General features: G+C 40.3%; 1 long non-coding RNA gene across 2 annotated transcripts in view; it reads left to right on the forward strand.

Annotated features, from left to right (window-relative positions):
* The first annotated feature begins 572 nt into the window (after nucleotides 1–572).
* The window catches only part of LOC105369435 (uncharacterized), an 84,813-nt gene continuing 58,204 nt past the window's right edge, over nucleotides 573–27,181 (forward strand). Inside the window, exons 1-3 of one of the 2 annotated variants that reach the window (XR_947901.3) lie at nucleotides 573–3,155; nucleotides 5,561–5,712; nucleotides 17,246–17,415. This is a non-coding gene — a long non-coding RNA (uncharacterized LOC105369435). Of the gene's footprint in view, nucleotides 3,156–3,936; nucleotides 3,972–5,560; nucleotides 5,713–17,245; nucleotides 17,416–27,181 lie in introns of those variants that run through there. The other variant, XR_947903.3, reaches the window with a different exon arrangement.

Consider the following 27,181-nt stretch of genomic DNA (forward strand, 5'->3'; position numbering starts at 1 on the left):
TAGGAGAAGGGGAAGTTGTTCCAGAAGGATCAGAATCTGTCAACACCTGTTTATTAGGAAGATCTAGTGGCGTTTTTGGGAACCAAAGGAACAATGAAGGTCCCTGAGGACACCCCCACTATAGGCCATGCTAGAGGCCTGGTGCCCTGCACACATTTCTAGCTCCTTTCACCAGTTCCAAGAAAAGACAGTGTTCTGAGAGGGCACGTACATTCACAGAAGCAACAAGGCAGCACCAGCTGTGGCCCACTGGACTATCTTGGCTTCCCACCCTGACTCAAGGGCTGGGCATCCCTGATGGCCCTGTGCACCCCACCCCCATGAGTGTAGCCCACCCTGAACTGGGGCTGAGTGCTGCCAATGTGGTTGGCCCTCTGATAGGGTTTGGCTGTGTCCCTACCCAAATCTCAACTTGAATTGTATCTCCCAGAATTCCCAGGTGTTGTGAGAGGGACCCAGCAGAGATAATTGAATCATGGGGGCTGGTCTTTCCTGTGCTATTCTCGTGATAGTGAGTAAGTCTCACGAGAACTGGTGGGTTTATCAGGGGTTTTCGCTTTTGCTTCTTCCTTATCGTCTCTTGCCACTGCCATGTAAGAACTGCCTTTTGCCCTCTGCCATGATTGTGAGACCTCCCAGCTATGATGGACTGTAAGTAAAATTAAACCTCCTTTTCTTCCCAGTCTTGGGTATGTATCAGCAGCGTGAAAACGGACTAATACACATCCTTAGTTGGAAGGGAGCCAGAGGGGTCAGAAACATCCTTTATGGTGGAGGGGGCACTTTATGTTGGTTGTCTAAGTGAGTTTGGGCTGCTAGAACATGAACACCACAGACTGGGTGACTTAACAGAAATGTATTCCTCACAGTATGAAGTCTGGGAAGTCTAAGATCAAAGTGCTGGCTGATTTGGTTGTTGGTGAGAGCTCACTTCCTGGTTTGTGGAGGGATGCCTTCTCACAGTATCCTCACGTGACTGAGGGAAAGCTAGCTCACTCCCTGGCTGCTCCTTAAAAGACACTCATCCCATTCATGAGGGCTCTACCCTCATGATCTAATTACCCCCCAAAGGTTCCACCTCTAGACACTATCACATTGGGGATTACAGCTTCAAAATATAAATTTTGGTGAGACACATACATTTGGTCCATAGCACTGACGTCGTCTCATTTTGTAGTCCAATAGCAGGAAAAAGAGGGTCAATTATCCCCACTTTATAGATGAGGAAGATGAGTTCTGAGACAGGGTACGGAGGTAGAGTAGAGGGGGAAAGAAGCTAGATGAAGGGCGTCATATCCCCTAATTTGTCCTGAGGTAGGGAGGGGGAGAGCTGGTAGCTGTCACATGAGTGGTCACTATATAGACAAATAGTGGGGCCCACTTCCAGGGCAGGACTCAGAAGCACTAGTGGAGGGTCCAGTCCAGAGAAGGGACTCCACAAATGATGCCGCTGTAATTATTGTCTGATCATCTATTCATCACACATTTTCTGAGTACATCCTCTGTGGTGAGCACTACTCATATGTTCTTTATCATCCTCATGGACATGACACCCCACTTGGCCTGCGGTGGCTGGAGACCTGGGGAGGAGTCATATCACAGCTTTTAGACCCACTCTGACATCGAGGTTAAATGCAACTTTAGGGCCAGCAAGTACAAGCCTTATTCTGCCACTTACTAGCTGCAGGGCCTGGGGTGGCACTTGGCCTCCCAAGGGAAGGTGCTCTTTTCCCCATTTTACAATTGAGAGGACAAGATATGAGAGGTGAAAATACAGACCTCCCTGACTAGAATTCATTCTCCCAACCACCATGCACACTAGTGTTTCCCAGAGGTGGTCCTGCAGGCTTCAGAATCTTGTGAGGTGTTTGGAGAGTGATTCCTGACCCCTCCTCCGACTCAGTAAATCTTGACAGTGAGGCCCCAAAATATGAATTCTTCACAAGCTCTGAAGGTGATTCTTATGTGTGTTGGGGCTTGAGAATTGGCTCTCCTGCCTCCTCATTTCCAGTCTTTAAACAGGGATCTGCACAGCAGCAGGCAGCAGAAGTAGGCAGCGCTCTGGAAATACAGTTGGCAAAAGCTCTCTCCCTTAAAACTAACAGGGAGAGAGCTAACTCCATGACTGGCATGACATCTGTGAACAAAGGAAGTGACAGGGCCACCAAGAACTGCTGTGGGCCAGTGAGAGCAACAGAAGACCAGGTCCTAGCCTTCCCTGCTGAGAACTTTACCCATTGCCTAGTGAGAAGGAACTGGAGATGCCATCAGAGCTGCATCGTAGTAATGCTGGTAGATTTCAATTTTTACAATTTATATTTGTTATGAATGTATTCACCATTCCTTAGAGTATGTTTAATTATCCTCAGTCTTTGTTCTGCTTTTAAAATCCACATTGAAAAGGCAAAGTGACATGTGCTTAAGAGGTCTTTAATAAATACTTTGGTCAAGAACAGGGAGGGGGTAGTTTAATTCCTCCTGATTAGACCCGCCTACTTCCCGGCCATCTGAAATTTAAATTTAAGTAAAAGTCAGTATGCTTTCTAAATAAATGCAGTTTCACAACACAACCTTTAGCCCACACTCAAGCAACTATATGGCTGCCCCTAATTCCTCCTCTATTGACATTCAGGAGCTGCCAGGGTTTCTGTAAAAGTACCTGAACACAGTGGATCAACCAACAGTGGCTCTGGGGTTTAGAGTTTTGAGCAGCAGCTCAGAATGATATCCATCTGCCTTTCTGAATCACAGCCAACTTCTGGCCTCTCTGCACAGATTTGGTGCAGGAAACTAGCCATACCCACGCCCACACCCACAGCTCGCCCCGTGCCTCCTTCATCTTCATAATTCTGCTCCCACCCTCTTCCCTCTTCCTTGCCCTTCAAGTTGCAACACTGAACTGAGTTTATGGATGATGCTCAACAATTTATTGTTGATTAACTGATTGATTGATTCTGTTGCTATGGAAACCATCAGATTCTAGTACAACAGTGGGATTCCTTCCTGACTTTATGCTTGACAAAATGCTGACTCTCTGTGCTTGCTTCTCCCAGCTTGCCACCTCCATCTGGGTCAGGAGGAGCAATTGGAAGCAGAAGCTCCAAGAGAAAGGTGGGAATGTTGGTAAACCCAGGTGAAAAAAAGCAACAAGGAGGGTAAGTGGCCCTGCAATGTGGAAATTTCCATCAGAAGCAGCCTACACAGTGATTATAAGTGTCAGGGCTTTTAGATCAAGCTATACCTGGGTTCAAATCTCACTTCCTCCACTTATTAGGCTTAAGGTTAATTAAGCCTTTCAGCCTTCATTTTCTCATTTGTTTTAATTGAGATAATACTGTGCCTTTAGGTTGCCTGGAGAAATTACGAAATGATACAAGGAAGTTAGAAAGCAGAGTGCCTGGTACCTACGGGAGCCTTGCCCAGGCCAAGAGGGATGCAGACCTCCCATTTTTTAAGGCTCTTAGATAGAAAGTGAATAGCAACAATATTACATAAATTGAGGAAGAGCTTTATGTATACATTTTTTTGAATTATCACTTTTTTAGTACAAAAATACAATGCAAGATTATAGGAATTCTAGAAAATATTAATTCAAGGTTCCTCATGACTCTGTGTCTAGAAATTAGACACAAAGTCTGAATGATAAATATCTTCTTCTCAGGAAATCTTTGTGATTTTATTTATAAATTGTTTGAACATGATGTCATAGTCGAAACTTGTGGTCCTTTGTGACTGAGCTGCCCAGCATTCTGCCTCAATAAACCTCCCTGGACAGGGTAAGTGTTCATTTAGTGATGGCCACACCTGTCATCCCAGCACTTTGGGAGGCTAAAGTGAGTGCATCACCTGACATCAGGAGTTCGAGACAAGCCTGGCTAACATGGTGAAACCCTGTCTTTACTAAAAATACAAAAAAAATTAGCTGAGTGTGGTGGCGGGCACCTGTAATCCCAGCTACTCAGCAGGCTGAGGTAGGAGAATCACTTGAACCTGGGAGGCAGAAGTTGCAGCGAGCCAAAATCAAGCCATTGCACTCCAGCCTGGGCAACAAGAATGAAACTCTGTCTAAAAAAAAAGAAAAAAGAAAAAAAAATTAGTAATTTTCAGCATCATCATAATGTCTCCAGTGAAGCTGAAACCACCACACATACTGCAGATGGAGTTTTGTCACTGTACACTGCACAATGATAGGGACCCCTGGGGCACCTCCAGACAGCATGAAGGTGACTGACCTCCCTGTAGACTAACCTCCTAGACCCTGTGCATCAGTGTGACGAGTGCATGCATTTCATGACTCAGTTCAAACGGCAGCTCCTCTTTGAACAGGACCCTGGCTGCTCACTCATAGTAATGCCCTTTTGTGTACTCCCAGTGCAGTTTATTTATACATCTGTTTAATAATTACCAGATGCTTCCAGTGTTCCCTTTGCCCCCTTGGAGTTAAATTCTTCCCAGCCCTTTTGGAGTTAAATATGGCCACATGAATTTGATGAAGCAAACATGAGTGAAAGTGACATGCTCCTTACGAGCTAAGGCACAGTGTACTAGGGTTCCTTTCCCTCTGCCACAGCAACCAGCAACAGCTGCTATGTCAGCCTGGGCCCTAGAGTGAGAATTATATGAGTGGAGGCCATGAACATTTAGGACAAGGTTTGTTGATTAAAAACACTGAAAGTTGTCGATTGTTACTGTAGTATTAACTGACCTATACTGATTGATACATTCTGTTTTAGACTGACTGTATTGTAAAAATTCTGTTTATATGTTTGTCTGTCCTCATAACCAAGAATTTTTTAAGGGTACAAGCTGTGTCTTACTCATTTCTGATTCTGGAGCTTCCAGCACAGTGCCAACATGCACTCATATATACATAATGGATGCTTATTAATATGTGTTGGCTAGACAAGTAAACTTTAAGTGCGGTCTGTTTGAGATATCACTACATTCATTGATGGCTTCATGCCATTGCCACATCTATGCTTTTTTGGAATAAGGTCTTCATATTCCATTTCTTTATCACTTCTCGTCCTGTGGTATAAGAGGTCGTCTACCACGACATCATGGGTTATTCCCACATCTTCAGCAACTCTCCTGATTGTTTCAGACATCCATTCATCCATCCATCCATCCAGTCTTCCATCCATTCCTTTACTCATTTATACATATGTTCATTTATTCATCAAATATTGTCTGAATGTCCACTGTGTGCCAGGGACTGTGCAATAGGCTGGGAATATGGATATGCATAAAATGTATTTATCTCTCTCTCCTCTCCATCTTCCCTTCCCTGTGAAGGGACAGCAAGAAGCTCCAAAACAAAGGTGGAAATGGTGGTAAATCTGGATGAAAAAAAGCAATGGAGACGGGAGATGAGGGCACCTGTGATGTGGAAAATTCCATTAGAAGCAGCCTACACAGTGATTATGGGTATTGGTACTTTAGGCTCAATCTAGACCTGGGTTCAAATCTCAGTTATTTCACTGATTAGGCTTAACTTTAGTTAAGTCTTTTACTTTCTGTGTCCTCAATTGTAAAATTGGAATAATATCTGTGCCTTTAGGTTGCTAGGAGAAATGAATGAAATGATACAAGTAAGGTAGAAAGCAGAGTGCTTTCTACAAGCCAAGAAGTGGCCCCCCAACAGATACCAAGCTCTGGACCTCCTGGTGCCTTGATTTTGGACTTCCCAGCCTTTTTCAGACCTGTGAGAAAGTAAGTTTGTTGCTTAAACCACCCAGTCTCTGGTATTTTCATTACGGCAACATGAACAGACTAAAGGGAAAAAAAGACAAGCAAACAGATGTGAAAAATGCATTATATAACAAAAAATGGTTGTCAATGCTAAGTCTAAGTTGTTTTTATGAACAAAACCTTTCAAGTTTGAAAAATACTTCCCTAGTCTAATCATCTTGTTTTTCAGACAAAGAAACTGAGGATTTGCTGGGTCAGGGAAGCAACCTTTTGCTTAGAACTCTGCTAGGTGGCTTAGGGTGCTTGAGAATCATGAGGGTCTGACCTAACCCAAGAAAGACAAGCAGTTAGGACTAGCTCTCAGCCTAAGTTTGTCAGTCTGGCTTTCCAGATCCGCTTCCATGATACACCACTGAGGGTTTTTTGTGGAAAAAAAAAAGTCAGGGGCCAAATTGGTACCATTGAATATGCTAGAGCAACATCTATTAACAGACCACATGCAGGTCTAATGAAACACTCCCGGGGGGTTGTGTTCTCTCTGTTTGTGTATCAGCTAATAGGAGCCCTGACTGTCACAGGGCCAGAATGCATGTGGATGTACCAGCTGCACCTATGTGTGTTGGGGTGGGAGAGGTTTTCAGGGCTTGGTTAAGCTGCATAGGCCATGACCTTGTTCCCTGTGAGGAAGCCAGAGTGTCCTAGTGGATAGAGGAGTATGGCCCTTGTCCTGGACAGATTTGGGTTCAAATGCTGAGTCAGCCACTTAAATATGAGCGTACTGAATTTCCCCATCTGTTAAATGCAGATAACAATGTAAGTTTGTTGATAAGCGCCATTGAATAATTTACATAAAGCACAGAGGCTAGCCTATGAAAATCCACACTATATGGCAAATGTTATTGTTCCCAATGTCATCGTTAAATAAGATAACATATACAAAGTTATCAGGCCAGAGGGTGCTCAAAACAAATTATTTATTGTTTTTATTATCAATATTATATACAAAGCATGACATTCTTAATAAACCAGCTTTGGGATGTCAGCAAGTTGACAGAATAGAAGCTTTCTACTGTTATTCTTTTGCAGAGGCATCAGTTTTGACAAGTACTCATGAATAGTGGGAGTCTGGGAGTCCAGTGGAGAAGTTTTTGTTTTTGTTGTTTTTGAGATGGAGTCTTGCTCTGTCACCCAGGCTGGAGTGCGGTGGCACGATACCAGTGGAGAAGTTCCAGCACACTGTTGGAGAAAAAAATCTGAGAATAGATGCATGAAAAGAGTAAGAAGAACAGTTTTGGCCAGGTGCAGTGGCTCATGCCTATAATCCCAGCACTTTGGAAGGTCAAGGTGGGAGGAGCACTTGAGGTCTCAGGAGCTTAAGACCAGCCTGGGAAACACAGTGAAACTCTGTCTCTACAAAAAATGTTAAAAACAAAACAAAACAAAACTTAGCCAGGAATAGTGGCATGTGCCTACAGTCCCAGCTACTCAGGAGGCTAGAGCAGGAGGATCACTCGAGCCCAAGAGTTCCAGGTTACAGTGAGCTATGATCACACCACTATACTCCGGCCTGGGAGATAGAGCAAGACCCTGTCTCTTAAAACATAAAATATACAAAAAGAGTTTCACATTACGCACATCACCTCTCCTCTATGGTGGCATAGCTTGGTGCCAAGAGACACCCCCACCCAGTCCCATTTCTCCCATAGGGGAAAGTAAGAGCATAGTGAGTGACCATCCATCTCTCCCAGTCATGCAAGGTGCTGCCAACGAGGCCCACCTCTTTCTTACCTCACCTGTATTAGTGAGGTGATCAGCAAAGCTGACAGGCTGGGAGAGTCTGGGAGCAAGGAAGAGATGTTGTGTACCCTACTAACTGCTCCATAGATTCCATCAGGAAGATTGCCCATGAGCTGTTTGGGACACCTCATCTATGGACCCCCTCCACACCTGATCCACCAGCATCCCAAATGCTCTGTGCACCTCATCTTCCCTCCCCAGGCCAGCTCCTCCTCAAGCCTGTCCCCGTGGATGGTAAGTTCATCCCATGCAGATAGCTGACTTGACTGTACAGGATTAGGAGAAGGCATACAAAGTTGAGCGTTTCAGGGCACTACCCTGTGGAAAACAAATGAGAGGCTTTCAACATCTGATCTGGCTTTGTGGGATTGAGAGAGGCAATACAATCTCAAGAATTCCCTGCCAAAAGGGAACAAGAAGTATGAAACAGGCACATTCATAAAAAAGTTTTGAGTGAGCCTCAGAATCCATAGGCAGGATAACTGGTATAGGCATTTCTTTCCTTTTCCTGAAGCCAGTCAGTAAAGACTGAAAAAAGTGATTGTTTTTTCAAGTGTACAGACAGCAATACAAGACCTCAAGGAACAGGAAAAATTAAGGAAACATGACAATACGAAAATAACACAATAATATTTCAGTAACTGATGCCAAAAAACGGTCATCTACAGATTGCCTGACAAAGAATTCAAAGTAATTGTTTTAACCATTGTAGCTCAGAAAGCTACAAGAGAACACAAATAAAAAACTAAATGATATCAAGAAAACAATACCTGAACTAAAGTTCAATAAAGAGATAGGAGTCACTTAAAAAGAACCAGACAAAATTCCAGAGATACAGAATATAAGGAATAAAATTTAAAAATGCAATAGAGTTAACAGCAGACTTGGTCAAACAGAAGAAAGAAACTATGAAATCAAAGACAGGTTACTTGAAAATGTTGAGTCAGAGGAGGAAAAGGGAAAAAAGAATTAAAAAAAGAAGACAAAAGCCTAGAAGATTTATGGGATACCATCAAGAAAGAGCTAACATTCATGTTATGAAAGTATCAGAAGGAAAAGAGAGAGAAAAGGTTGCAGAAAACTTATATGAAGAAATAGTGGCTGAAAATTTTCTCAACCTAGGGAGATATGTGGATATCCAGTACACGAGACTCAAAGGATCCCAAATAGGTTCAACTCAAGGAAGACTTCACAGACACATTATAACTGAACTATCAAAAATTAAAGAGAATTTTGATAGCAGCAACAGAAAAGAGTCTTGTCACATACAAAGTAATCTCTAACATTATCCGCAGGCTTTTGGCAGAAACCTTACAGGCCAGGAGAGAGTGGGATGATACATTCAAAATGCTGAAAGAAAAAAATTTTCAACCAACAATACTTCACCCATCAAAGCTGTCCTTCAGCAATGAAGAAGAAAGAAAAGCTTTCCTAGACAAAGAAAAGCTGATGGAGTCCATTCCCACTAGACCTATCTTACAAGAAATGATAAAGGGTGTTCTTTAAGCTGAAATGAAAAGATGATAATCAGTAACATGAAAACATTTGAAAGTCTGAAACTCAGTGGTAAAGCTAAGTCAAATAGAATAATACTGTAGTGGTTCTTTGTAAATCACTTATAAGTATAGTATAAAGGTTAAAAGATGAAAGTATTAAAAATAGCAATAGCTATAATAATTTGTATAGGATGCAACAAAAGCAGTTCTATGGGAGAAGTTTATAGTGGTAAAATGTCAACAGGAAGTTAAAATAAGTCTCACATAAACAACCTAACTTTACACATCAAGGAACTAGAAAAATAAAAACTAACATCCTAAAGTTAATAGAAGAAAGAAAATAATGAAAATCAGAGCAGAAATAAATAAAAAAGAGAGAAACAAAAGATGAACAAAACTAAGACTTGGATTTTTGAAATGATAAACAAAATTGATAACCTTTTAGCTGGACTAAGAAGAAAAGAGAGAGGACTCAAAATCAGAAAAAAGGAGACATTACAACTGATACCACAGAAATACAAAGGAGCATAAGAGACTATTATTAACAATTATATACCAACAAATTAGATAACCTAGAAGAAATAAGTAAGTTCCTGAAACATATAGTCTACCAGACTGAATCACAAAGAAAGAGAAAATCTGAACAGACCAATAATGAGTATGGATATTGAACAAGTAATAAAAAGCCTCCCATCAAAGAAAAGTTCAGCACCTGATGACTTCACTACAGAATTCTACCAAATATTTAAGGAACTAATACAAATCATTCTCAAACTCTTCCAAAAAATTCAATAGAGGGAACACTTTCAAACTCATTTTGCAAGGGCAACATTACCCTAATACCAAAACCAGACAAGAAAACTGAATTATAGGCCAATATCTCCGATGAACATAGATTCAGAAGTTCTCAACCAAATACTAGCAAACCAAATTCAACCACACATTAAAAGGACTGCACACCATGATTAAGTGGAATTCATCCCAAGGGTGCAAGGATGATTTAACATATGCAAATCAATAAATGTGATATATCACATTAACAGAATAAGGGATTTAAACCATATAATCATCTCAATAGATGCAGAAAAGGCCTTTGGCAAAATTCAATTTCCTTTTTTAATGTCCTTTTATTTTTATTTTTTTGAGGCGGAGTTTCACTCTTGTCACCCAGGCTGGAGTGCAATGGCATAAACTTCGCTCATTGCAACCTCTGCCTCCCAGGTTCAAGCGATTTTCCTGCCTCAGCTTCCAGAGTAGCTGGGATTACAGACACCCACCATGATGCCCAGCTTATTTTTGTATTTTTAGTAGAGATGGGGTTTCGCCATGTTGGCCAGGCTGGTCTCGAACTCCTGATGTCAGGTGATCCACCCGCCTCAGCCTCCCAAAGTGCTGGGATTATAGGCATGAGCCACTGCACCTGGCCCTTAACGTCCTTTTATGATTAAAAAAAAAAAAAAAACCTCAACAAATTAGATACGGAAGAAATGCACTTCAACACAATAAAGGCCATAGATGACAATTCCACAGTTAACATCATACTCAATGGTGAAAAGCTGAAAGCTTTTCATCCAAGATCTGTAACAAAACAAGCATGCCCAATCTTGCCATTTCTATTTAACCTAGCACTGAAAGTCCTAGCCAGAGCAATTAGGCAAGACAAAGAAATAAAAGGCATCCAAATCCTAAAGTAAGAAGTAAAATTGTCTCTGCAGATGACATAATCATAAATAGAAACACTAAAGATTCCATAAAATCTCAGTTAGAATTAATAAGCATATTCAGTATAGTTGCAGGTTATAAGATCAATATACAAAAATTAGTTTCTATATGCTAAAACTACTCAAAAAAGAAATTAAGAAAACAATCCTATTTTAAAAAGCATCAAAAAGAATGAAATACTTAGGAATATATTTAACCAAGGAAGTGAAAGACCTATAAACTATAAAACATTGATTAAAGAAATTGAAGATGACTCAAATAAATGGAAAGATACCCTATGTTCATGAATTAGAAGAATATTGTCAAGTGTCCTTACTACCCTAAGTAATTTATAGATTCAATATAATCCTTATCAAAAATTCCAATGGCATTTTTCACAGAAAATTCATATGGAAATACAAAAGACCCTGCATAGCCAAGGTAAAAAGAACAAAGCTGGAGGCATTACACTATCTGACTTCAAAATATATCACAAAGTTATGGTGATTAGCACAGCATGGTACTGGTGTGAAGACAGACACATAGACCAATGGAACAGAGTAGAAAGCCCAGAAATAAACCTATGCATTTATGGTCAGCTAATTTTTGCTAAAAGTGCAAGAACACACAATGGGGAAAAGACAGTCTCTTCAAATAAATGGTGTTGGTAAAACTGGATATCCATATGCTGCAGAAGAAAAGTAGACCCTCATCTCACACCACATAAAAAGTCAGTAAGAATGGATTAAAGACTTAAACATAAGACTTGTAACTATAAAACTGCTGGAGAAAAACATAAAGGAAACTTGCATGACATTTGTCTTATTTTTCGGATATAACTCCGAAAGCATAGGCACAAAAGTGAAAATAGGATGGTATCAAACTAAAAAGCTTCTGAACAGCAAAGGAAAAAAATCAACAGAGTGAAGAGACAACATACAGAATGGGAAAAAATATTTGCAAACCATATATCTGACAAGGGGCTAATATCCAAAATATATAAGGAACTCAACTCAAGAGCAAGAAAACCAATAACCTGATTTTTAAAATGAGCCAACAACCTGAATGGACATTCATGAAAGAAGACATGCAAATGGCTGACAGGTATATGAAAAATGGGCATCACTAATCATCAGGGAAATGCAAATTAAAACCACAATGAGATATTACCTCACACCACTTAGAACGGCTACTTTTTATCAAAAAGACAAAAGATAAGTGTTGGTGAGGATGTGAAGAAAAGGGAACACTTGCACACTGTTGGTGGTAATGTAAATTAATACTGCCATTATGGAAAACAGTCTGGAAGTTTCTGAAAAAAATAAAAATAGAACTACTCTATGATCCAGCAATCCTACTACTGGGTATATATTAAAAAAATCAGTTTGTCAAAGAGATATTTGTACTCCATGTTAATTGCAACATTATTCACAATAGCCAAGGTATGGAATTAACAAATATGGAATTCATTGTCCCTTAATGGATCAATAAAGAAAATTATATATATATATATACACACACACACACACATACACACACACACACAATGGAATACTACTGAGCCTTACAAAAATAAGGAAATCCTAACATTGGTTACAATATGGATGAATCTGGAAGACATTACGCTAAGTGAAATAAGCTAGGTACGGAAATATAAATACCATATGATCCCACTTATATGTGTAATTTTTAAAAGACATACTTAGGCAGAAAGTAGAATGGTGGGGCTAAGAGCAGGTGAGAGTTGGGGAGATGTTGATCAAAGGATGAAAAATTTCAGTTAGATAGGAGGAATAAGTTCCAGAAATCTATTGTAAAATATGGTGACTACAATTAATAACAGTGTATTATATTCTTGAAAATTGCTCAAGGAAATCAGAGAGGACACAAACAAATGGAAAAATGTTCCATGCTCATGGATAGGAAGAATCAATATCGTGAAAATGGCCATACTATCAAAAGTAATTTATAGACTCAATGCTATTCCCATTAAACTGCCATTGACATTCTTCACAGAACTAGAATAAACTATTTTAAAATTCATACGGAATCAAGAAAGAGTCCATATAGCCAAGAAAATCCTAAGCAAAAAGAACAAAACAGGAGGCATCATGGTGCCCAACTTCAAACTATACTACAGGCTACAGTAACCAAAACATTATGTAATGGTACAAAAACAGACACATAGACCAGTGGAATCAAATAGAGAACTCAGAAATAAGACTGCACACCTACAACCATCTGATCTTTGACAAAGCTGACAAAAACAAGCAATGGGGGAAAGATTCTCTATTTAATAAATGGTGCTGGGAGAACTGGCTAGCCATATGCAGAAAATTGAAACTGGACCCCTTCCTTATATCTTATACAAAAATTAACTCAAGATGGATTAAAGACTTAAATGTAAAATCCCAAACAATAAAAGCCCTAGAAGAAAATGTAGGCAATACCATTCAGGACATAGGCATGGGTAAAGATTATATGATGAAATGCCAAAGGCAACTAGAACAAAAGCTAAAATTGACAAATGGGATCATTTTAAACTGAAGAGGTTCTGCACAGCAAAAGAAACTATCATCGGAGTGAACAGACAGCCTACAGAATGGGAGAACATTTTTGTGATCTACCCATCTGTTGAAGATCTACTATCCAGAGTCTATAAGGAACTTAAACAAATTTATAAGAAAAAAACAACCCCATTAAAAAGTGGGCAAAGACATAAACAGACACTTCTCAAAAGAAGACATTCATGCAGCCAACAAACATATGAAAAGGAGCTCAACATCACTGATCATTAGAGAAATGCAAATGAAAACCATAATGAGATACCATCTCATGCCAGTCAGAATGGTGATAATTAAAAAGTCCAGAAACAACAGATGCTGGTGAGGCTGCGGAGGAAAAGGAATGCTTTTACACTGTTGGTGGGAGTGTAAATTAGTTCAACCATTGTGGAAGACAGTGTGGCATTCCTTAGAGATGTAGAGGCAGAAATACTATTTGACCCAGCAATCTCATTACTGGGTATATACCCAAAGGAATATAAATCATTCGTTATAAAAATACATGCACGTGTATGTTCATTGCAGCACAATTCACAATAGCAAAAACATGGAATCAACCCAAATGCCCATCAATGATAGACTGGATAAAGAAAATGTGGTACATATACACCATGGAATACTATGCAGCCATAAAAAGGAATGAGATCATGTCCTTTGCAGGAACATGGATGGAGCTGGAAGCCATTATCCTCAGCAAACTAATGCAGGAACAGAAAACCAAACACTGCATGTTCTTACTTATAAGTGGGAGCTGAATGGTGAGAACACATGGACACATGGCAGGGGAACAACACACATTGGGGCCTGTGGGGGGTAGGGGTCGGGGGGAGGGAGAGCGTCAGGAAGAATAGCTAAGGGATGCTGGGCTTACTACCTATGTGATATGATGATCTGTGCAGTAAACCACCACGGCACGTGTTTACCTATGTAACAAAACTGCACATTCTGCACATGTACCCCAGACCTTAAAATAAAAGTTGAAGGAAGAAAACCAGAAAATCACTAAGAGTAGATTTTTAATGTTCTTTCTCACCACAAAAATTATAAGTAGGTGAGGTAATGCATATGTTAATTAGCTCAATGTAGCCATTTCACAATGTACATATTTCAAAATATGTTGTTACATAATAAATGTATACTTTTTTGTTAGCTACACCTCAGTAAAGCTGAGGAAAGCAAGAAACCAACTTTGGATTTGAGTGTGCCCAAACCAGTGGCCAAAACCAGATTTTTGTGTGTGTAGTTAGCTCTATGTACAATTTTTTCTGTCTACACAGTTGAAACCACTAGGAAGACAGAGTATTTGCCTCGAAGCTCATTGCAGATTCTAGCAGTTTAATTTGGATGAACTGCTTGGCTTCAGAAAGAGACATGTATTGCAGTCAGGCACCCCATGTGCACAGTTAACAGAGCCCACTCAAACAGTGAAACATTAAAATCTAGTGCAAAGGTCCTCTGTGCTTCATCCAGAATTTTATAGGACTCTAAAGCCCAAACTGACCATAGGAATCACTTTTTGTGACCCAAATGTGATCCATCAAAAGGATGTGATGAAGAGAAAATTCAGGCAGTTCTGAACCAGAGCCAGAGGAGACTGTGTCGGAAGCTGTGTCTCAGCTTTGAAGACATATGTAGCCATAAAATGAACATAACATCCAGAAACAATCTTGCCAGAAGTTGTGAATTATTGGCAAAGGAAAATAACTGGGCATTGTTTGAACAAGCAAAGACATTTGAAATCTCCTGGTTCTCAAAATCACTGTGTTGCCCTAGGGCAGGTCCCAGGCCTCATCATGGCAGGAGCGGGGCAGGTGGAGACTGATGGTAGAGGGGAACTCTGTGTACTCTAGTGCCAACCTCAACCCAGAAGTGACTATCATTTGAAAGTTGAAGGAAAGCTGAGAATCTGCATGAGACATGTATAAGATAATGAGGAGGACCCAAGCTCTCCAAGGGCAATCAGAATCAAGCATCCACACAAGATGACACAGGCAACTTCTCACATAGAGCCATTTTCCTAGAGCCATTATCTTTTCTCTCAGTTCACAAAAACATGTGACTGCCCTCTCAAAACGTCCTGTTATGAATTGAGCACAGTCCCCATTTGTAGTGTGAAAGGGCAGAGATCCAGTGGGGTTAATTCTCATGATCTGAAAACCATTGAGTGCATAGCATTTAAAGCCACTGGGTTTGCTCCATTCTAAGTCTTTTCAATAGATTTTAATTTGACACTGTTAAATTATGCATTCATGTATCCATTCACTTCTCAGCAAATATATATTGCCACTACATGCCTTCCATCTTGAAATGTCATAACCCCAGCTCCCATCCCATATGGGACAGCTTCCTCTTTCACTCTTTGTAATTCCTTCTCCTTTTGCCCAGAAAATTTTCTCATGATAAGCATTGTGGTATAATTTAACAATGTCCATGATCTGTGTGATGCACTATGTGTTTTCTTTTACATCTATATTTTCTTCTACGTGATGTATGTATAATGAGTATTATATGGAGAAAAAGCCAGAGATTTAAATTTGAAAGTTTGGTGATGCTGCCTGCAGAATATAATCAATAGCCTGTTCCCAGAGCCCAGACAATGGATCCTCATTACACCCTTTAAACCGGTATTAGAAACATGCTGCTCCTTTGACTACCTCCTCCACGTCAGCCCTCTACCCATGTCTTAATGGGCATCACCTTTCTTGACTGTATATTATCTTCAATCCATTTTTCACCTGGAGTTCCTGGCGTAAGCCTAACCCTTAACATCTTTCTGGTGTCTTTCTAAGGGAAGAGGGGAGTTGAATGCCTCCTGAATAATCTCTTAAATTTTAATTTAGGCCGTCTGACTCACTCTTTTAAGATCATTCAGTAACTTCTTATTACTTTAGAATAAATACAGACTTTTTTGCTTGACATTCCAGGAAAACTGGATTCTCCTTATCTCTCCGGCATCCTCTATTGCCCTGAACACACTGTTCATATTCTGTTTTTCTCATTCTGAAAATAGGAAATGCAGTCAAACCAGTAGTTCTCAAAGTGTAGTCTGTGGGCCAGTAGCCACAGCATTCCCTGGGTGCTTGTGAGAAGTGCAAACCCTTGGTCTTTATCCCACATCTACTGAATTAGAAACTCTGGAGGTGAGGCCACTATCTTAACCAACTATTTTAATCATCCAGATGATCCTGAAGCTTGAGAACAATTAATTTTTATGTGTGATGGGGGCAGGGGCTTGCTCTGTCTCCCAGGCTGGCATGCACTGGTGTGATCACAACTCACTGCAGCCTCAACTCCTGGGCTTAAGCGATCCTCCCACCTAAGCCTCCCAAGTAGCTAGACCTACAGGCATGCACCACCATGCCTTGCTAACTTTTCTTGTGAAGGCAGAGTCTCAGTATTTTGCCCAGGCTGGTCTCGAACTCCTGGACTCAAGAAATCCTCCTGCCTTAGTTTCCCAAAGTGCTGGGATTATAGGCATGAGCCACCACACTGCACCAAGAACAACAGATTTAAACCATTTCACATGATGGAAGGCACCAATTAAACACATATAAAATGTCTGCTTAGCCTAGTCTAAACTACCAAGGATTGGAAGACTTTAATTTCCTTGGGAGGTCTCCCAGCAGGTTACTGTGGCTTTTATCCTGCCTTCTCACTTTTTGGAAGCTCTCAGAACAGGGAAGTCCTTCAGAGGAGAGAATATCGGTCTCCTTGTCCATGTTCTCATCCCTCCCATTTTCCCATGCCTCTGATTGTGTGCCCTCTGTTCTACCTCCTCGGTGTTCCTACGTCCCTGGGAAATAAAAAGTAGTTGCTTCCCACGAAAAGATGAGAATGTTCTTCAGAGTAAAAGTGAAGTCTTTTAAAAGCCTCATTTGAGATATTGTGTTATCATCCCATAATATGTTAACTGAAGGGAATGGAGAGGGAAGAGGCACCTTCGTTCAGAGTAAAGTAATTGAAAAGCTTAATATACACCGAACTGTGTCTTTACAGGGTCCGCCGCATCTTGGAAGGAAACTTCAAAGCTCATTTAAAGTCAGCCTCTCACATAGCCCTGCTGGTCTAACTTTCTTCTGAATGTGATTTCAGAAGTAAAACCAGGCCAGGGGCTGGGACTCAGGTGAGTCTCACTGACCGTGACCTCTGGAGAGTCAACTGAAATGGTAAGCCAGGAAGTCATGGAAATCTTACCTCCCCTGCAGTAACAACGTCTACTCTCAAAGAAATGCCAATGGCACAGAAACCACAGGGGTTGTTTATCTCTTTCTTTTTTCTTTTTAAACATTATAAAAATAACACAGCAATTTCTAAATGTCAAAAGAGAGAGAAATGAAGCTATCCATAATTTCAAAAGCCTATCCTAGTAACTACTGTAGATTTTTGCCTGAGCTTTTTAGGCTTGGGCCATTTGTGCTCTGTGCTGATGCGTGCATTGTGTTTTGAAGTTTATCTTTTTTTTAACCTTATCATTCATACATTTTCCCCAGATTGTTGCCAGGTAAACCATGCAATCCAGAATTATGGACTATCAGAGCTATAAAGGGTTTTGGAGATCATTTTCTGAAGCAATTCTTAATTGGCTCTTCAAAGATGAGCTTTTGACAGTTTGTGTCACCCCTGAAATTATTTGTGAAATTCTACACTGAGTTTGTGAATCTTTCTACAGATAGTGTTATCCCTGTATTTCATTAGATCTTCAAAGTGGTTTACACGCCCTAAAGGTTGTCTATTCTTCTCATGCAGTTATTCTATGTGCAGTCATTCAAGCTGTGTTTTACTCAACTTGTTGTTGGAGGGAAGGGGGAATAGCACATAGGCTATAATATCCTCTAGAGTTGTGCAGTACACAATTGCACAGCCATGGATGGTGGACTGACATTCTAATCCATCCTTATTTTGTGGTTGGCACCACAGAGCTGAGGAGTAATTTGCCCTGTTTCCATAGCTCTTTGCACACATTTCTTTAAACACACTTGCATTATATTGAAATGATTTGAGAGGATCTGTTTAATTCTAGTACTTAGTATTAAGAAACCCACCGTTGCATACACTAATGCTATGTTTTCCAATATCAGCTTTATTACTAACAAAATTTACATTTTATTTTCCCTCTGCTTGACTTCTATTTTTCAATTGATTCCAAACTTAGATAGAAAAGAGAGATGCAATTCATTGTCCCTGAAACCTTAAACATGTACATGATGAGTCGATCAACAATTCATAAATAAAAGAAGAACAAAAAATAGCTATATAAGACAGTGAGGACTAAGAACGGATGAAAAATGAATTCCTTCTCTAGTCCTAACTGCTAGAAATGTTTCCCCTGAGGGTATTTTTGTACTTTGTCATTTCTCTATTTAGAAACCTCAGCTCCCTCTTCTATTAAATTTTGCAAGGGCTTCTGATAATCTTAACAATTAATAGCTAGTGCTTACAGTTCTCAAAACACTTGCAATTACATTAGCTCATTTGAGTCTCAACAGGAACAGGTGTCGTCTCCATTTTACACAAAAAGAAAAAATAACTCAGCAAGATTGAGTTATTTGTCCCTGCAAGTGGCAGAGCTGGGACTCGAACAGGGTATATCTGACTTAAATACATCACGCCAAGTCCCAGTGCCAATGTGGTAGACGCTGCCAATGGGTGCCAATGTGTGGTTCTCCTCTATGTCCAGATAAGTAAGACTGTGCTTCCTTGCCCTCTTAAAGTTGGCTATGTTTGTGTTACCAGATATAGCCAATAAAATGAGAACAAAAGGGATGTGTGTTGCTTTTGGACCAAGTGCTTAAGTCTTAGTGGTCAACTCACCAGTTTTCCCTCTTCCCTTGCTACAGCTTTTAACACATGGAAGCACTTTAAAAAAATTCAACTTTTATTTTAGATTTGGTGGTACCTGTGCAAGTTTGCATTGTGTGATGCTGAGGTTTGGAGTACAATTAATCCCATCACCCAAGTACTGAGCATAGTACCCAATAGTTAGTTTTTCAATGGTTCCCTCCCCTTTCCCTTCCCCCTCTAATTGTCCCCAGTGTCTGTTGTTTTCATCTTTTTGTCTATGAGTACCTAATATTTAGCTCCCACTTATAAGTGAGAACATGTGGTATTTGGTTTTCTGTTCCTGCGTTAATTCACTTAGGATAATGGCCTCCATCTGCATCCATGTTGCAAAATACATTATTTCATTCTCTTTTATGGCTGCGTAGTATTCCTTGGTGTATATGTAGCATGTTTTCTTTATCCAATCCACCATTGATGGGCACCAGGATTTATTCCATGTCTTTGCTATTGGGCATAGTGCTGCAATGCGTATACATTTGCATGTATCTTTTTGGTAGAATGTTTTGTTTTTCTTTGAGTATATACCCAGTATGGGATTGCAGGGTCAAATGGTAGTTCTGTTTTAAGTTCTTTGAGAAATCGCCAACCTGCTATCCACAGTGGCTGAACTAATTTACATTCCCACCAACAACGTATAGGCATTCCCTTTTCTCTGCAGCCTTGACAGAATCTGCTATTTTTTATTTTTAAAATAATAATCATTCTGAATGGTGTGAGATGTTATCTCATTGCGGTCTTGATTTGCATTTCTCTGATGATTAGTGATGATGAACTTTTTTGCATAGGTTTGTTGGCCACTTGTATATCTTGTTTGAGAAGTGTCTGGTCATGTGTTTTGCCCATTTTTTAATGGGGTAATTTGTTTTTTTGCTTGTTCAATTGTTTAAGTTCATTATACATTCTGGATATTAGACCTTTGTTGGATGCATATTTTGCAAATATTTTCTCCCATTCCATAGGTCACAGATTACTCTGTTAATAGTTTCTTTTGCTGTGCAGAAGCTCTTTTGTTTAATTGGGTCTCACCTGTCAATTTTTTGTTGTTGCAATTGCTTTTGAGGACTTAGTCATAAATTATTTCTCAAGGCCAAAGTCTAGATTGGTGTTTCGTGGGTTTTCTTTTAGGATTCTTACAGTTTACAGTCTAACACTTAAATCTTTAATTCATCCTGAGTTAATTTTTGTATAAGTGAAAGGGATCCAATTTCACTCTTCTGCATATGGCTAGACAGCTATCACAGAACCATTTATTAAATAGGGAGTCATTTCCCCACTGCCTATTTTTGTCAACTTTGTTGAAGATAAGATGGCTGTAAGTACACAGCTTTATTTCTGGGTTCTCTATTTTGTTCCAGTTGTTTATGTGTCTGTTTTTGTACCAGTAGCTTTATAGTTAGTTTGAAGTTGGATAATGTGATGCCTAGGGCTTTGTTCTCTTTGCTTAGGATTGCTTTGGTTATTTGGTCACTATTTTGGGTCCTTATGAATTTTAGAATAGTTTTTTCTAGTTTTGTGAGAAAATGACATTTGTAGTGTGATAGGAATAACATTAAATCTGTAGATTGCTTTGAGTGGTATGGCCACATTAATTCTTCCAATCTATGAGCATGGAATGTTTTTCCATTTGTTTGTGTCATCTGTGATTTCTTTTAGCATTGTTTTATAGTTTTTTCTTGTAGAGATCTTTCACTTCCTTGGTTAGAGGTATTCCTGGGTATTTTATTTTTTGTGTGGCTATTATAAATGGGATTGTGTTCTTGATTTGGCTCTCAGCGTAAATGTTATTGGTGTATAGAAATGTTCCTGAGTTTTGAACATTGGTTTTGTATCCTGAAACTTTACTGAAGTCCTTTATGAGTTCCAAAAGCCTTTTAGCAGAGTCTTTAGGGTTTTCTAGGCATATAATCATATCATTAGTGAAGAGAGATAGTTTCACTTCTTCTTTTGCTATTTGAATGCCTTTTATTTCTTTCTCTTGCCAGATTTCTCTGGCTAGAACTTCCAGAAGCACTTTTTGATATGAAGATGCTGTAAGACAAAAATAGCCTAGAATCATGAGTCAACATACGGAGGAAATTTTCTCTAGGAAGCTATCTGGTCCTGCAGAAGACTTTGCTTGAGCCAGAACTTAACTTTCACTGTGGTCAGCCAAGAAGATTTTGGGATTGTTGGTTGCCACAGCATAACCTAGCCTACCCTAAATAATACTGGCAGACTCCATACATGACTGGGTCTCTCTCCCTTAGAGCTCAGGCTAGTGTTCAGAGAGGCATATTTTGTCATGCACAACTTATCTTCCCTCACACAATTCAGCAATCTCCTTGGCTGTTTTTCCCTTGAATCTTTAGTAACCAAATTTTAAACTGTTAATCTGCAGGACATACAGTCCAGAGGAGGACAGCTGGGAAGGGGCAGATTCCTGACTGGCTGAGGGTAGAGAGAACCTCAGATGTGATGAATGTTATTGGCACAGTGGATATTTGGGCTGGGTCACAAATGAATTTGCTGTGATTGCTTGTAGTGGCCTAATGAGATGACATCAACATCATTGTTCCAAGACCAGTAAAAATAGAAAAGATCAAAATAGCAGAAGTCAGGGCCAAGTAAGAGAGGAGATGGGCTCAACTTGCTGGGAGCTGATTCAGCACCACAGACAGATCCCATGGGCCCTCTCCTCTAATGTTTTTTTTCTGGGCAGCTCAATTTTCTCAGGTTAGCTTTGCTGTTAGAGAGTCCTTTTCAGCCTCCAAATGCCCAGTTCCTCCTAAGCGAGGACTAGTAGTGCTGTAGGCCGGGGACCATATCTGTATTCATCCAATACAGTGCTTCCCAACTTATTTCTCTCTATATTATGTTATGCATGAGAATATTTACCTGGCCTCCTGGGATAAATACTTGAAGCCACTTCTGGCTGGAGGTGACAAACCTGTGAGCTCCAGCTATCCTAGGCTCTGCCTGATGGGCTTAGGTAATCAATATACCACACATTTATAACTTGCTCATGAGAAGCTGTGTTCCAGTCATCTCTTCCTTACCCTCTGCCCCAGTCAGACCGTAAATGACCAGATCATATAGAAGTCAGACCATAGGTCTTATTGGGTGACTTGGAGGCAAAGCTGGGTCTAGGTCTTCCATAACTTGATTTTGGCTCCCTTGGATGCTCTTCCCAAATCTTATGCTGGAAGCCAGGCCAAGGGTGCAGAAGATGAAGGCAAAGCAACTGGGGGTGCCCACTCCCTCCTACCATCTGTCATTTGACAAATATTGAGCACTTACCATGGGCTAAACCTATCCTAGCCCCTGGGAATGCAGTAGGGAACAAGACAAATATGGACCCTGCACTCATGGAACTCACAGTCCATCAAGGAAGCCCAACAATTAGCCAGCAAGTATTAAAAAGTCTGGTCAGTGTTATGTTGATGATGTACTGGGATGCTATGGGATTACCTAGCTGGAGAAACTAATTTATTTGGTATGGGAAATGGGGGATGGGTTCAGAGAAGACTTTTGGTAGCTTTAATCCCCTTTTGAACATTCTCTTACTGTATGTCTAACTAAGTTTAACTGTGGGGAGTTAGGTATCAGAAGAACCAGCCCCCAATATTTCAACATAGGTTCTTTTCTATTTTCCCTAAGTGTTGGCTGGTCTGAGAAATAAAGAGAGAGAGTACAAAAGAGAGAAATTTTACAGCTGGGTCTCTGGGGGTGACATCACATGTCAGCAGGTTCCATGATGCCCCCTAAACTGCAAAACCAGCAAGTTTTTATTAGGGATTTTAAAAGGGGAGGGGGGTATGAATAGGGAGTGGGTCACAGAGATCATATGCTTCAGAGGGCAATAAAAGGTCACAAGGGCAGAGAGGCAGAGTGAGATCACAAGACCAGGGTGAAACTAGAATTACTGATGAAGGTCCATGTATCTCTGGGCACACATTGTCATTGATAAACATCTTAACAGGAAACGGGGTTGGAGAGCATACAACCGGTCTGACTAGAATTTGCCAGGCTGGAATTTCCTAATCCTAGCAAGCCTGAGGGTGCTGCAGGAGACCAGAGCATATTTCATCCCTTATCTTCAACTGCATAAGACAGACACTCCCAGAGTGGCCATTTAGAGACCTCCCCCTGGGAGTGCATTCTTTTCCCAAGGCTATTCCTTGCTGATAAAAAGAATTCAGCGATATTTCTCCTATTCGCTTTCTGTAAGAAGAGAAATGTGACTCTGTTCTGCCCGGCCCCACAGGCAGTCAGACCTTATGGTTATCTCCCTTGTTCCCCGAAAATCACTGTTATCCTGTTCTTTTCAAGGTGCCCAGATTTCTTATTGTTCAAACACACATGCTTTACAAACAATTTGTGCAGATAACGCAATCATCACAGGATCCTGAGGCGACATACATCCTCAGCTTACAAAGATGATGGGACTAAGAGATTTAAGTAAAGACAGGAATAGGAAATTATAAGAGTATTGATTGGGGAAGTGATAAATGTCCATGAAATCTTCACAATTTATGTTCAGAGATTTCAGTAAAGACAGGCATAAGAAATTATAAAAATATTAATTTGGGGAACTAATAAATGTCCATGAAATCTTCACAATTTATGTTCTTCTGCCATGGCTTCAGCCGGTCCTTCTGTTCAAGGTCCCTGACTTCCTGCAACAGTTAGGGTCTGACGTGTAGTATAGATTTTTCATGATTTTGAAATTCCACAAACATTTTCCACATACCATTTGGACATTTGTCCTTGCATTACCTCCCAATGCCCTTGCAGCAACCCTGGAGTCAGGGTTTTATATTGTTTCATTTTCCTTGCAGGCTCAGAGAGATCCCACTGCTAGTATATGATGGACTTAAATGCTGAGTTCTTTCCCATGCAGGAGCCCCATATGCCCTTTGTCCTACCCCTGGGAGTATACCTCTCCAAACTCTCAAAGGTCCTGTTGCCCTCCAGTCTTTTACGTAGAAGCAGTATTAGAGCCAGCTTAAATTTATTCAAGATGTTTAGTTGCTTCAGAGAACTGTTCCCTGCACATTTTGGCTGCAGCAGGACTGCCCTCACTGTCCCCCTTTGTCAGAGGGTAGTAAATGTCACTCCACCACATCACAGAGGAAGTCTTATCCACCAGATAAAAGGATTCCATCCAACAGAACAGTGATCCTTCAATCCTTAGACCACTCCAGCTAGAGGCCCAGACAATGCCTGAGGCAGAGAAAAATCCCCGGAGACACAGTGCTGACACGTCCTGTTATGGTGAAGGTTTGGCTCTTCCTAATCATGAACACTGGAGAATGGTGAGATTTTGCTTCAGAGCTGGATGAGTCTAGCTGAGTTGCCAGAGTTCCCAATTGTCCTCTATATTTAACAACTGAGATACATGTTTACCTCTTTTTTTATATGTTAGTGCGCAGCAGTGGTTGTCAAGATAAAGTCAGGGCCCAGCAGGGCCCAGAACAGCATGCCTGGGTGAGCCTCAGCTAGTTTATTGCTTATACTGTAATGTGAAAAGGTCTGTGCTTTCCTTGTGGCCAGACCTTTCTCTTCTTACCTCAAACAAATCCTGTTTAAGGCCTCTGCTCCCATTGTTTCCTCTTTCAGTGATGGCTGTCTGCTCGCTGACTGCTTGGCCAATATCAGCACATTTTCCAAATCGCAGCTTTTCTTCTATCCTGAGGCCCTTTCTGACCCTACTCCTCTGCAAGGTAGAATTGGCCTGCTTTCTGCCTCTACTGTGCACTACACACACCTATTACAGCATTGATCATACACTACATCATATCTCTTGTGCCCCACAAGGTGCAGCATGGACACTGCAAATCCTTGTTGAGTGAGCTCATGCATTTGCTATTATGGGAAGAGCACTGTGCTGAGGGCCAGGAGGCCTGGGCATTGGTACCAGCTCTGTCATTGGTACCAGCTTGGCCAAGCCATTCCACCACTCTGAGCCTCATTTCTCTCTCCTCTAAACTGGAAGTTAGAGTTGATAAGGCCTAAGGGTAACTTCCTGCTCTAAATTTATATTTAGAAAGCAAAGTGGGAAGAACTTTGTGATGGTTTTCTGATATGTTAACTTGGCTAGTCTACAGCCCCAGTTATTCCATCAAACACTAATCTAGGTATTGCTGTGAACATATTGTATAGATGTGATTAAGATCCATAATCAGTTGATTATCCTAGATAACCTGGGTGAGCCTGATTCAGCTAAATATTCTTAAGAGCAGAGCTGAGGATTCCTTGAAGAAGAGGACATTCTGCCTGTGGATAGCAGCATCGGCCTGTGCCCAAGAGTTCATTCCTGACCTACAGATTTCCAGCTTGTCTTACCAGTCCCCATAATTGCATAACCCAATTGCTTTCATTAACATCTCTCTATATATCTCCCTTTGGTTGAGCTCTGACCCACATAAGCTTCATACTTTGATTCAAGTATATGCCTTATACTTGGTTCAAGCCCTGGCTCTACTACTTATTAGCTGTGTGATCTTAGGAAAGCTAGTGAGTGGCTCTGAGCCCCTGCTTTCTTATCTATAAAATTAGGGTAACAATACCTATTCCACAGTTAATAATAAAAACTATTCTTATTTTGTTTTAGAGCACTACTTTTTTGATATTTTCTGTGAACCAGCTTCTGTGCTTATTGCTTTACAACTCATTTACTCTTCTTTAAACCCTTGTAGTACTAAATGACATAATGCATATGAGTAATGATAAACACCATCATGCCTGGCACATTGAAGGTGCTTAGTAAGAGCTAATTCTGACTTTTCCTTTCCTTTGCCTCTATAATATTTCTGAATAAGCTATCTTAAGGCAAATTTATTGTAAATAATGGTTTAGACTGTGTATGTGACTTAAAGGAGCCAAGCTATGGGATTACAACACAATTAGTTTAGTTCACTCACTCTTGTCTCCAGGTTTGCATTAAACCAACATTAGATTGTCTTGGAATTCCATAGTACCTTCTGTTTGAGGATTTATGGAAATAGTCCATATGAAGCAGAGAAGAACAAGGGCTACTCCTTACTCGATGGAAAAAGTGAAGCAACCAGAAATGTTTTGCCATCAAGTTGGAAAACATCAATTCTCTAAATGTACCAGAGATTTATTTCATACTATGAAAGTCAGATTTGAAAATATTACAGATGAAATATTAACTGAATGTTTATAGCTGGGATAGGAACTGTGAGGGAATTTAGAAGTCTCTACCTGCCAGTAAGAGGTTTACTGACTTCTAGAAACTCAACAGTATTTAAACACAACAAAGACCACTTGTTCATTCTTGAGCAGATATAGGCCTACCCACTGCCTCATGTCTCTGTACTCAAACATTGAGAAAGAGAAGGAAACAGAGTTAGTGAATGGGGGATTGGTGAGTGCCACTAGAAGGTTATTGGGTACATAGCTTGGGAAGATAAAGCTTGGGAGTAAGGGTGGTTTGGCAAGTGGATGTGCAGGAAAAAATGTGTGAGCATAGGAGGAAAAGATTAGGCAAGTGACCCCAGGATGCAAGTTCTATACTTGAGTCCCAACTCCCATGTCAGCCTGGCTCTTTCTCCAGGCTCACGACTTCTCATAGTTGACCTCACCAATGCCTACCCTCCTGCAGCCTCTGGTGTACCCTATTTTCCTAAGCCAATCCTGACTGTGGTACAAATATAAGTTTTAACTGTTTATGACAAAAATTTAAAACATGTAGAGAAATAGAGAGAATGGTATGATGAACCCCTATGTAACCACCCCCCAGATTCAACAGTTCTCATCTCATGGCCAGTCTTGTTTCATTTATACTGCCTCCCACCCCATGGATTATTGTGAAGAAAATTTCAGACGTAATTTCATCCATAGGTATTTCAGTATGTCTTTCTGAAAGAAATACAAAAAAGCTATAATGAATTTATTTTACCTAAATGTTAATCATAATTTTTAAATTTAAAATATTCTGTCCATGAATTTTTTCTTTATATAGATAGATGATAGATAAATGATAGATAGATAGAAGATAGATAGATAGCTAGCTAGCTAGCTAGCTAGATAGATAGATAGATAGATAGATAGATAGATAGATAGATAGAGCTTGTTTGAATCAGGTTC

Source organism: Homo sapiens, chromosome 11, assembly GCF_000001405.40.
Source record: "Homo sapiens chromosome 11, GRCh38.p14 Primary Assembly".
NCBI lineage: Eukaryota > Metazoa > Chordata > Mammalia > Primates > Hominidae > Homo > Homo sapiens.